We start from the raw sequence: 12,623 nt of genomic DNA on the forward strand, positions 1-12,623 counted from the left end.
ATATACAGTTGCATATAGATTGCAATATGGTAGTTTCTTTGATTTTCAAATTTACAGTTTAGATATATCCAAGTTAGATCACTGACATACTTTATATGTATGTGTGTGTACATGTGCACGTGGTATGTATGTATATATTATACATATATTTAGTTAATTTATATATAGCTAAAATATATACATACACTGTAAGAATATATATGAACACATTACATGCCATTTCAAAATTCTGTAGATATATATATATATGACAATTCTCACTTTATTTTAGCAATGATAATTTCTTCAGTAATTAACATCATGTGGTTAATTGTGTCTTCAATATGGCTATGTTCCTAAGAAAATGTAAGAAACAATCTGGCATTTTATGATGCACATGTGTATCCTTTCTCCATAGATAAAGGACAAGGATTAAAATAAATTGCACACTGAGATTCTAGCTTAAAATGAGCCATAGTGTTCAATAATTGATTTTTACTTTGGATTTGAGCCTCAATCATTGACAATTAGCTTATCAGGGAAAGAAAATATGTGTATTCAAATTAAAATAATATACTTCTATACTTAGCAGATTACAGTCATTTCATAGCATTATTTGCTTATTTTCTTGTACATTAGTATTGCATCATGAGTACCTTCCTGGTTTATATTTTGATTTTGTTTGTACTCTCCTTTAGTAAATGCAAAGTAGCCTATTAGAAGTTCCCACTTTACAAAGAAAAGATTTGTTTGAAATTGCCCTCAAATGGCTTAACAAACTAATCTGGGGGTTGGTCGATAGGTTGCTTAGTTTGCTGTTGCCTTATTTTTCTTCTGCTTAGTGCACTATTCACGATGTATGCTAAATGCTAACCTATTTAAGAGATTTGATTAAGCAATTTTTCTTTGGAAAAGTTAAGCTCTGATCCAAAAACTGAACTTAGAGATTGAAAAACTTAATTCTGTCAAAAGAAAAATGATTTTTTTGTTGTTGAGGGGAAAGGGGAAGGGCCAGGCCTTGAGGTCAGACAGACACACTCAAGCTCTGGCTCAGGAATCTTGGCAAGTTTTATAGCTACTTATTCCTCATTTCCTCACCAGTGAATCAGGAATAATGTCTGCTTTGTGGACTTTTTGTGAGATTAGGGATAATTGAATTATCTTATACTTGCTCAATTCTCAAAAGTGATAGCTATTAATATGATGTTAATATGCAGCATTAATAGCTGTTAATATGCATCATAAATAATATGTTATATGAGAATGTACACATAAGTTCTAAAATTGTTTGAATATGAAAACTTATGGTTTGTGAATTTATATCTATGTATATTTTGTTTAACTAATAATCCTTATTATAATTAAGTTTATAGATTTGTATCTTTATTTATTTTGCTTATTCTGTTATCCTTCCTAGAAGCATAATCTTAGGGTTATTTAAAATAATGTATTATGTAGAATATCACCATTTTAAAAATAATTCTTGGACAGATCATTGAGATTTTAAAGTATTCTTTAAACATTATTCAACCTTCATTCGTATAATCTAAATATGGCAGATTTTCCCAATTTACATAGCTAAATGTTTATATTTTGTTATTAAACAACTACATATAGAGCATTCATACATGAAGAGTTTCGTTCTAAAAATTTTTATATAAATTGGGAGGCAGATATTGAACAGCCAATAAAATTATTTTATTAGAGCTAGGTAAATGCTAAGAAAGTAATGCAGAATGCTATTAGAATTTTATAATAGAAGATCTGACAATTTGGGGAGTATAGATAGGCTTTTTGAGAACAATGTTTATGAATTGAGCTATGAATAATTCATAGGAATCGACGAGGTGAAATGTGAGTGTCTTGAAAGGGGAAGTTCTAGGCAGAGGGAAAAGATGGACTTGAGGTAGAAAAATGAAAAGATTGAAGAGTTTCAAGGTATTGTAGTTGAGAATCAGAGTGAAGTCTAGAGTTTACAAGAAGGGATTGTTGACTTTTCAGGCAGAGGAAATGTAGGCTCTTGTAATGTTACAGATTTCTTTTTTCTTTATCTCCATAGCAGTGCTGAGCATTGGATTATTTTAGGCAGGAAAATGAGGAATCAATGATAACTGAAAGGATATTTCAGATAGAGTCAGAAGTTGAAAGATACCAGAAATATTTAAAAATAAAGTTGATAGGTTTAAATGAGTGAAAAAAATGGTGAACTTACAAAGAGAAACACACTTGAGAAAAGCCGATCTATACACTAAGGCTCTGTCTACTACTTCCTGGGTGTGAACCATTCCTTGGATGTAGAGCTACACACATAGGTGGTATCATCTCCCTTCAGATGAAAAACCCAGGAGAAAGCCCAGAGCACTTTGTGGGAACAGGTTCTAGGCTGTCTGGACAGGGAATGTGGGGTGCTGGTAGCTCAAGCATGGTCTGGTAGTGGGTTTATGGCAGATCCTTAGGGGGCATTTGCCTTTAGCCTACGGATGCTTTGCCCTGTGACAGGTGCAGAGCCACACAAAGCACCCCAATATGACGTCCATTAAAACATGGTGCAAGTGGGGTTCTACTTTCATCTGGGCTATTTTAGCCATTCTTTGAGAGGAAAGTGATACCACACCATGGGTTTGTATGACATTCCACAGAAGAGGTTGAGACCTTTTCCAGATTCATTGGTCTTTTTGATATTCTCCTTTGAGAAGCAGCTATTCAAGTTTTTGCACTTTTTTTCCTAAGGGAAGGCCTGATTTTTAATGAAATTATGCAAGTTTTTAATATATTCTGGATATAAGCCCTTTGTTGGTTATTAAAAATACCTTTTTCCACTCTGTGACTTCTTTTTATCCTCTTAATGGTGCCATTTTAAGGCAATCCAATTTAACGCAATTTGGAGCAACTGAGGGATTATCAGCTCTCACTAGTGTTTTTCTCAACAAAATTTTGAAAGATCCTTTTACTTATGAAATTGTATTTCTTTTCATATGGTTATTGAGAGCTTGCTTTTGATTTACCTTCAATGCAAAAAGATCATATGGAAATTACATGCCTTAGATGAATATTATTTCAACAATCAAGTTTAACATATTCCTCCACCAGCTTTTTCCAGCAATTCCTCCATATGGTGTTGAATTGCTGTGAGTTTCTCTTAGGTGATAACTATTCCACTTGTATCCACGTGCATTGCTTGCCAGTCTCAGCCTATGAATACCACATTTCTCTTCCACACATCACACACACATATTGATTTATGCATGTTTGTACACTCAAACACATGCTCACATCCACACAAATTCAAGCACACACGCATGCTGATACACATGCTCATAGATTATGCACACATGCTCACACACGTCAACTCACACTTTCAAAAATGCATTCACATACAATTTTTCTCTCATTTAGATCAACTGAGGGATGATTGACTCTTGGTAATATTTTTCCCTTAACAAAATTTTGAAAGATCCCTTTATTTATAAAATCATATTAATTTTGAAAGTTGTTTTCATATAAAAAGTTTTCCCTTCGCCCACTCTCTTTTATGTGCTGATATTGTCAGGGAAGTAATTATGACCAAATAATTGGCTCTTTTTAAAAATATCCTTGCTCAGAGGCACAGAATATTATTTGGACGTTAACTGGAAGTTGAGACAACTCTTACATATTCAGTGTGTTACAAATGGGTAAAATTTAATTCTGAAGGCCATTAAAGTTATATTATGGGTTAGACTACTTTCTGACCTGTCCTGTCTGGGAATTGAATAACATTTTGAGACATGTTTTATAAAGAAAAATGGGCCATAATTTCCAAAAAAGTAAATTAAAAGTAGACTATTTATAATAGAAATATATCTGTCCAAAAATAAACTAACTATGGTCTCAGAAGTATTCATTAAACAGTTAGTAAGCCGACTTTTTTGTCATCCAACCTGGATATTAAGTGTCAAGGTAGTATTTAAATTGCAAAAAAGCATTTCTTATGAGTCCAAATGATTATGAAAGGAAGTAATGATGCAGAAGGTGAAAATGATATGAAAACATGGCATATGCTTTCTGAACCTGAGAAAAGACAGATTCCAATTTCCCGCTCTTTACACATCCGCTGTGTTCATATTTCTGCATGGCCTCTTGAATTTACTATATGGATTTCATGACAGGTATAAACTGCAAGGTTAAACAGGGGCAACAATTTGGCCTATTTTCATGGTAGATTGTTCCTAGAATGTTTGCCTTTGTTCTGTTGTTTGCCTCTGGTTAAGACCTGGGCCTTTGAGGTTCACCAAGATATGCCCTGGAGTCTGTTGTCCTTCCAACTTATCACCTGACAGCACTGATTGTACAGTGTAATTGTAAGTCAAAGGTAGCTTTTGGGATATATGCTCTAATGAAGGAACCATCTGAAATTAGGACTTAAATAATAAAGGGTTCAGGGACATGGAGGCTGGTATTTGTTGTGCATTTTAATTGCAGGACTTTGCAGCTAATTGGAGGCTAACTAAACCCCTTGGACACATTTCAAGTCACGTCAGTGGTTTTTTTTTTCTCCCCAAGGAAACTGATAGGACACACAGCTTAGTGCTGCTTTTTTCTATCTTAATTACCACATTGAATTGTGTTAATATAGATTTACTTTGGAGACATGTTCTATGATTATAACCAGGCAAACATTGTTGGCATTTGTTTTCACTCTGTGAGCATCAGACTGTAATTCAACATTTTAAAATAGGTTGTAAATTCAAAATATTTTAAAAGCAGTAAAATACTATTTAAGTATGCACTTGGTTCAAAATTACAGAATATTGACACGATTTTAAAATCTATGAATTAAAACTCACAAGTTACTTAGAAGATTATATTTGTGTTTGTTCAGGTTTCAATATTCAGTTGATTCTAAGCCATGGTACAATAAATTCAGCTTATAAACACATACTCCAGAAAGACTGTACAAAATTTTTAAGTAATCGAGATAAGAAATAAAGAAATAAATAAGAAAGCTAAAAAAAAAAGCAGTTTAACTCTCGGGAGGACGGCATGTTTATCTATAAAATAGAGTTTCAATGAAGAAATTGTGTAAGTTTCATTTGCCACAACTGAAATTCCTGAGGCATTTTGTAAAATATTTTGCAAAGCAGAACACTAAACTTCATGAGTTTGATGCATGTAAAACAAAAGCAACAGATTTTCTTGGGTAAAAACTCTAATTATAAGATTAATTTATATTTTAGGATAGAAGAATATTTTAGACTGATTTTGTGTAAAAATGTTCAACATTTTTAATTCATAAGTGTTTTTCACTTATAATACTTCGCATGTATTGTAAAAGTAAGATGTTTTAGCTTTGAATTTGAGTAAGATAATTGTTGAACTGAATGAGGTCATCATTCTTGGTACAGTTAACTAGTGTAGAATTGTGACATTTCATTGGCATTATCACAAAGGCAAGGAACTTAAAACTGTGCCCTTCCTTTTTTGCTTTGTTCTTTGTGTCACCATGCTTGGAGGTAGGCAAGCAATGACTTTGCTTTCAGAAGCCATAAGTCCTGAGGATCTGACATGGTAGCCATTACTTTTTCTAAGCCCCCTAATTCTCTTTCTTCACTTCCAAAGAGTGACAAGAAAGGGGTAATACATGAAATTAAGGCCTATAAACACACCAATTCTTACCTTATGAGGCTATCTTATCTTCTTCTGTTTTTAATCATATTAGACATTATATTTTAGCGATGTTTTAAAATAGCAGAACGAAATCGTGATCTTATAACAGTTAAGTATAAGCAGAATAGGTTATTGAGAAAGAGTAAGCTCTAATTGTTTTTAAAAGCACCTGAAAATTCCATTATGGGCTCAATCGAATTTAATGTTCATCCTTTTCTAATCATCTTAGCCATTAAATTAATACAAGCAAATTAGCCACAACAAAAATGGATTTATGGAAAGAAAATTATTTCAGAAAAAAAAGATATACCAGTGATCAAATACCATCTCATGTGTTTGAAAAATGGTTTAGTTATTACTTTTTCACTTCTTTATCTGAAAAAAAAATATGTTTAAACAAACATCATGTGGACTTGAACATTCTAATGAGGTGATAATGTAAAGCTTCTGTCTAAAAGTACCCACTCCACATATGTGAGTGCCTTTTCCTCTTCTAGATAATATAGTAGATATTGTGTAAAAAAAGAAATAACTTCAGACACAAGAGGATATTTAAGAAGTTCATTTTTGTAAGCCGTTTTTCTTAAGACCATACCTTAAAAATCGTTCATAAAAGGCCAAATAGTATCTTTTACTTTTAAATTTCTCCAGTCAAGGATTTCTCCCACTTCAGTGCCTAACAGCCTTTGTGAGTCTCCTTCTACACAACTGAATCATCTTTGGCTAAATTTCTCTAGTCTCTCCACAATTGATTTAGAGAAAAGATGCCATCATTTTCTGCTCAAAAGCACTTGGCACACTTAAAAAATATTATTCAAATACTTCTAAGCTGTCTACAATTCAAGCTCAACAATATTTTTAAAAATCAGAGAATAACAGTTTCAGGAACAACTGAAACAAAAACAAAAACAAAACTTGGCATCTGTCCTGATTTCAAAGTTTCTAAATATTTGTGATATTTTATACCAGAGCCCAAGTCTAGAGAAGGAAAATGAGGTGTATACACACACACACACACACACACACACACACACACAGACACTTAAAAGTTATTGGTGGTGATGGCTTCCCAATATCAACATATCTAAATAAAAAGTAAGAAAAAAATCACTTTGACATTTTTTTTGTTTGCTGAACAGAAATGTAACATAAAGAGACGGACATAATCAATTTTTTAATCAAACAGATCTGGGTTTGATTTTTGGCTTTTCTATATTTAGAAATATGTCTCACATTGCCTACTTAAGAGTATTAATCTTAGAATTACATGGGATTATGTAAATTTGACTACCAGATACCCAAATAGCTGACAATTTATCCCGGCCTTCTGGGTACTGTGCTTCTGATCACTGGGAGCTGAAGTTGTGGTCCTTTTTTCTTTGCTTTATTTTGATTCAATATACAATCATCTGATAAAAGAGACTGCTTGTTTTTCTTGCATTTGAAGTGGTTTGTGGGCAATAGAGGGCAGGAGCTTCCTTTTTGAGAGCTTGCTCGGGAGCAAGGAGGTGTTGGATTGGGGAAATCTCACTGCTCTCCTTGCAATGTGGGAGTGCCTACAGAATAATACATTGCTTTCCTTCTTTTCCATCCTTCTGACTTCTATGCCTCTACAATTGCCACCTCTAAATAATCAAACTCATCATTTCTAATAGTGTATTGTAGGCATTTATGTGCCTATTTGTATACTTTTTAATTGAATATATATTTGTTTAAGAGTTTGTGTTTTTGATACAGGACAACTTGCTTTTGCCTTTAAAAAATTATTTCCTCTTAAAATTTCCTACCCAATTTAAAATAATATAGTTGGCTACTTAACATTTTGTGTTTTAAGGGTACACTATTTCTTTGCCTACCCAAATTCAGTCTCTATATTGCATTTCAGTATAGTTCCTACTTTTAATCTTTTCCTTCTGCTAACAACAACAAAAAAATATGATGAGCATAGCTCTACCTTCAGAATTCTGTACCTATCCTTAATAATATGTCTAACTAGCTCATATTATTTAAAATACATATTTAATTTTTTCAGTAGTTATAAGTTCCAAATAAACTTATATTTTAGGAGAAATATTAAAATTATTGCAAAATATTCCTATTTTGGTGAAAGAAAATAAGTAAAGTGCTCTAAAGTCATACAGAACATTTTCTTTTTTTTTTTTTTTTTTGAGACAGAGTCTCGCTCTGTCGCCCAGGCTGGAGTTGCTGTGGCGCGATCTCAGCTCACTGCAACCTCCGCCTCCCGGGTTCACGCCATTCTCCTGCCTCAGCCTCCTGAGTAGCTGGGACTACAGACGCCCACCAGCACGCCCGGCTAATTTTTTGTATTTTTAGTAGAGACGGGGTTTCACCATGTTAGCCAGGATGGACTCGATTTCCTGACCTCGTGATCCGCCCGCCTCAGCCTCCCAAAGTGAAAACACTTTCTTTGTATAAAACCAAAGTGATATTTTATAATGCAGGCTTTTCTATACATTCACTGTCATTTATTTAAAACTGTAATTTAAAATTAATGATTGAGCACTGGTTGAGTTTAATGCCAAGAAATATCAAACAATCTCTGATAGTGCTTAAAAATGCATTTAATTGGCTGGGCATGGTGGCTCACGTCTGTAGTCCCAGCTACTCAGGAGGCTGAGGCAAGAGAATGGCATGAACCCAGGAGGCGGAGCTTGCAGTGAGCCGAGATTGCGTCACTGAACTCCAGTCTAGGAGACAGCAAGACTCTGTCTCAAAAAAAAAAAAAAAAAAAAAAGCATTTAATTTTATGTGGGAAATTTTGATAATCCACAAGGAGTTTTGATTTTTCCCTTGATATTAGTATTTTGGAACCATATATGGGTGCATTCTTTACTATGCATTGGAATCAAATATGAGTGCATTCTTTACCGTGCATTCTTAGAGTTACTTTAAATTCGCCCTGCATGAATTAGTTGCTTTTAAGGTTGCTTGCTCTTCTCAGTGTTTTGCAACTCATGCACCCCTCTGTTTTTCCTCCAGGAGACAGACAATCCCTCTTAGTCCTGCAACTTTCTTTTCAAAAGCTCACCAACATGTTAAGCAACAGATCAAAATCCATCTCTATGGGGAATTCTTTCCCGATCCACTGAAATTACAGCCACATCCAGAAGTGATTTCTCCATCTTTTAAAGTCATACCATTGTATTGGGTGTTTCCCTTAATGATATTTATCATGTTTAGAATATTTTCTAACTGTCCTTCAGCCCTTAATGGGTGATTTCTTATTTAACACATTTCTAACCCAGTGCTTCAGCTTCATATGTTGTCAAGAACTGTTGGTTGTAATAAATCAAAATAGGATTAAAACACTTACAGTTTTTAAGGCATTTTGAAAACTTTTTGATAAATATTTATTAATCATTTTCTACATCAGTACACACAAGTGTACATCAAATATCTTTACTTAATATGCGGAATCATTTAATAGCAGATAAACTATGAGATGAACATAAGACTCTTAATAAGTCAAAAAATAACAGATGCTAGCAAGGTTGTGGAGAGCAAGGAACACTTACACACTGTGGTTGGAGTGTAAATTAGTTCAGCCATTGTGGAAGACAGTGTGGCAATTCCTCAAAGACCTAAAAGAAGCAATATGATTTGACCCAGTATCCCATTTCTGGGAAGATACCCAAAAGACTGTAAATCATTCTATTATAAAGACACATGCAGTGCTATTCACAACAGCAAAGACATGGAATCAACCTAAATGCCCATCAATGATAGACTGGATAAAGAAAATGTGGTACATATACATCATGGGACACTATGTGGCCATAGAAAGAAACAAGATCGCATCTTTGCAGGGATAGGGATGGAGCCAGAGGTCATCATCCTCAGCAAACTAATGCAGGAGCAGAAAACCAAATACCACATGTTCTCACTTATAAATTGGAGCTAAATGATGAGAACACATGGACACAGGGAGGGGAACACCACACACTGGGGCCTTTAGGAGGCTGAGGGGTAAGAGAGGAGGTAGAAGGAGGGAAAGGAAAAATAACTAATGGATGCTAGGCTTAATACCTGGGTGATGAAATAATCTGTACAACAAACCCCCATGACACAAGTTTACCTATGTAACAAACCTGAACATGCACCCTCAAACATAAAAGTTAAGAAAAAAATATGTGTTTATTATCAGATTTAGATAATTTTAAAGAGAAAATATCCCATATCTTATTTGCTATGTAGAATATTCCAAATAAACTGACATATGGCTTAGAAATCTGAGGACAGATAAAGTGATACCATATCAACATTTTCAGTCTAGAACCTATAGCCTAAAATTTATAGACTATAAGTCAAGCCAGAAATTCCTGGGAAAATTATACAGATTTAACATAATGAAAAATTAAGTTGTTTTTAAAATTAAACTGTATATTTGATGAAGACCTAGTGACAAAGAGGAAGAAGAATAGAAGTCGAGACGCCAAAAACAATTCTGGTATGTAAATTTTTCCTTGTGAGATTCTGGGCAGCAGAGTTTCAGACAAATACTAAATCAGATAACTCAAATAGGGCACTCCAGCATTGAGGGAATTATTATAGATAGGACAAAAAAAGATGGCTGGGCAAGGTGGCTCATGCCTGTAATCCCAGCACTTTGGAAGGCCGAGGCGGGTAGATCATTTGAAGTCAGGAGTTCAAGACCAGCTTGGCCAACATGGTGAAACCCCATCTCTACTAAAAATATAAAAATTGGCTGAGTGTGGTTGCACATGCCTGTAATCCCAGCTACTCAGGAGGCTGAGGTAGGAGAATTGCTTGAATCTGGGAGACGGAGGTTGCAGTGAGCTGAGATCCTGTCACTGCACTCCAGCCTGGGAGACAGAGACTCCGTTGCAAAAAACAAAAAAACAACAAAAGTAGAAACTGGGTTTTCATTTACACAAAAACAACCAGAAATTTTATAATATTTTGTTTTAGAACAAAAAGTTATATCATTTAAATGAAAAAAGAGGCAAGATTAATGTTGTTTCAGTTGGCAAATGTAATAGTCATTTTATCCATGCATGGTACCATATATTAAATAGTCACAACACAAATCAGAGCCTGGGACTTCATAAGAGGTAAAAAATTAAATTACATTTAATTATATTTCAAAATAGTTTGCACATTTTAGTAGGACAGACAGTGTTATGGATTTGCAAACCCATAGTCAACACCAGCACACTATGGGCACAGTGAAGAGCCAGCTTGATATTTCTATGTAATTATGTCAATGAGTTATGTATGCCAATTATTTTTAAAATTTACAGGGCTAGAATTGAAGCCTGAGGAATGAAGGAAAAATATATCAAAATATATCAGCTTGAATATTAACCTACTTTCATGAAAGTAACAGATTGTTTCTAGGCCAATTCCTTAAGTAGGTGATAGCACCAGTTCAACTCGAGCAGTATCACGCTGTGTTATGACGACAACTCTCACAAGTGCTCTGTGTGCCTTCCTCCTTAAAAAGCTACATAAATATATAAAATTATTACAGTTTCTGCTAATTGCTCAAGCTTCCCAAAATCTATTTATTACTAGTATGCTGATATTTTTCAGTTGTGTATTAGGCATGTTTCATGATATATTAGGTTATCTGGCAAGTAGAAATGCGTATCTTCTCTGTTCACCAGATGTTTTAACTGAAGCATGAAGCATTGAATATTACAGCTGTCATTCATTTATAAAATAATGCCAGTGGAACACTGGGAGGAAAATCTGGAAAACGTGTATCTTTTTTTTTCTGCACTCTCTAAATTTTGATTTACTTTATTAAAAATTTAATAAGTATTAAGTAAATGTTTTACATGATATAAATATTGAGTTAATAAAAATGTCACCATAATCAAAAAGAAATATCTATGTAATTTCGTACATTTGCTCAATGGAGATATGCTAGTCACCTATTTTATAAGTGTGTTATTGTCTCTTCCAAAGAGAATATAAATGGGTCCTTAGTGTAGAGGTAGATAAAAAGGTTGAGGTTGGTGAAATAAGATTGGTTACATCTTGTAAACAATAAAACTCGAAGCATGGGACTAGAGAAGATACCAACAGATTCACATATTATCTATTTATCCACACATCTCTCTGTTTATCTATCTTTATATTTAGAGAAAAAAGGAACATATGCTTTGTTACTTGGGATTACCTTTATTTTGAAAGGGTACTTATTTATAAGCTAACAATGTCATTGTTCCATAGTTTGCGTTTTATTGATCATGGCCTCTTTATAGTTTCATGTTTATTGTTTGATTTGAACCTTCTACCTGCTCCCCTTGTACTGTTAGTTTAGAGGGGGTAACAGACCTACAGTTACTAGCCACCAGGTCCTGCACTGTGGTTTGCCCGGACTGCACCCTGCCTGCAACATTGGAAGAAGTCCCTTTATCAGTCACTCTTCAAATGACCTAAGCTGAGGATGCCACCTGTTTCCTTCCAGGATGCTCAAGGATGCAGGGAGCCATCAGAGTCTTTCCATCAGAGGCGTGACTTAATCTGACATATAAACGCTTCTTCTACTGTTGGGCTGAGAATAGATGGGGGAGTGGATTGAAGGATCAAAGGTTCAACTACGTTAGTTGGGAAGCTGGAGTCACTTAGCATAACTGTGGAGGTCATGAGATATTGTCAGATTCTGGGTATTTATTTGAGAGGGCTGCAACAGGGTTTAAAAAAATCGTAGAGATAAGGAGTGTGAAAAAAATGCAGTCAGTGAGGACACCAAAATTTTTTGTCTGAGAACATGGAGGCATCCAATTTCAAGCAGTTGGAGTGGGTGAAATTATAAAAACTAGGTTTGGGTACGAAATTTTGAGCTAACTATAAGACATAGTATGTTGGAAATGACTCTATTACATTCAAGAAGAGATTCTATGTATCACATTCCTGTCTGAATAGTCAATTGCTGAAACATAAGGAAAAATACACATGAAATATGTTGATTAGTAATAGAAGAGGTGACATCTGTACTCTGATGATGA

General features: G+C 34.4%; 2 long non-coding RNA genes across 5 annotated transcripts in view; one reads left to right on the forward strand and one right to left on the reverse strand.

Moving 5' to 3' along the window:
- Positions 1–12,623, forward strand: part of LOC107985178 (uncharacterized) — a 125,185-nt gene that overhangs the window by 89,434 nt on the left and 23,128 nt on the right. The window lies entirely within an intron of this gene.
- Positions 1–12,623, reverse strand: part of LOC101927404 (uncharacterized) — a 121,424-nt gene that overhangs the window by 44,278 nt on the left and 64,523 nt on the right. The window lies entirely within an intron of this gene.

This window comes from Homo sapiens, chromosome 18 (assembly GCF_000001405.40).
Source record: "Homo sapiens chromosome 18, GRCh38.p14 Primary Assembly".
NCBI classification, from domain to species: Eukaryota; Metazoa; Chordata; class Mammalia; order Primates; family Hominidae; genus Homo; species Homo sapiens.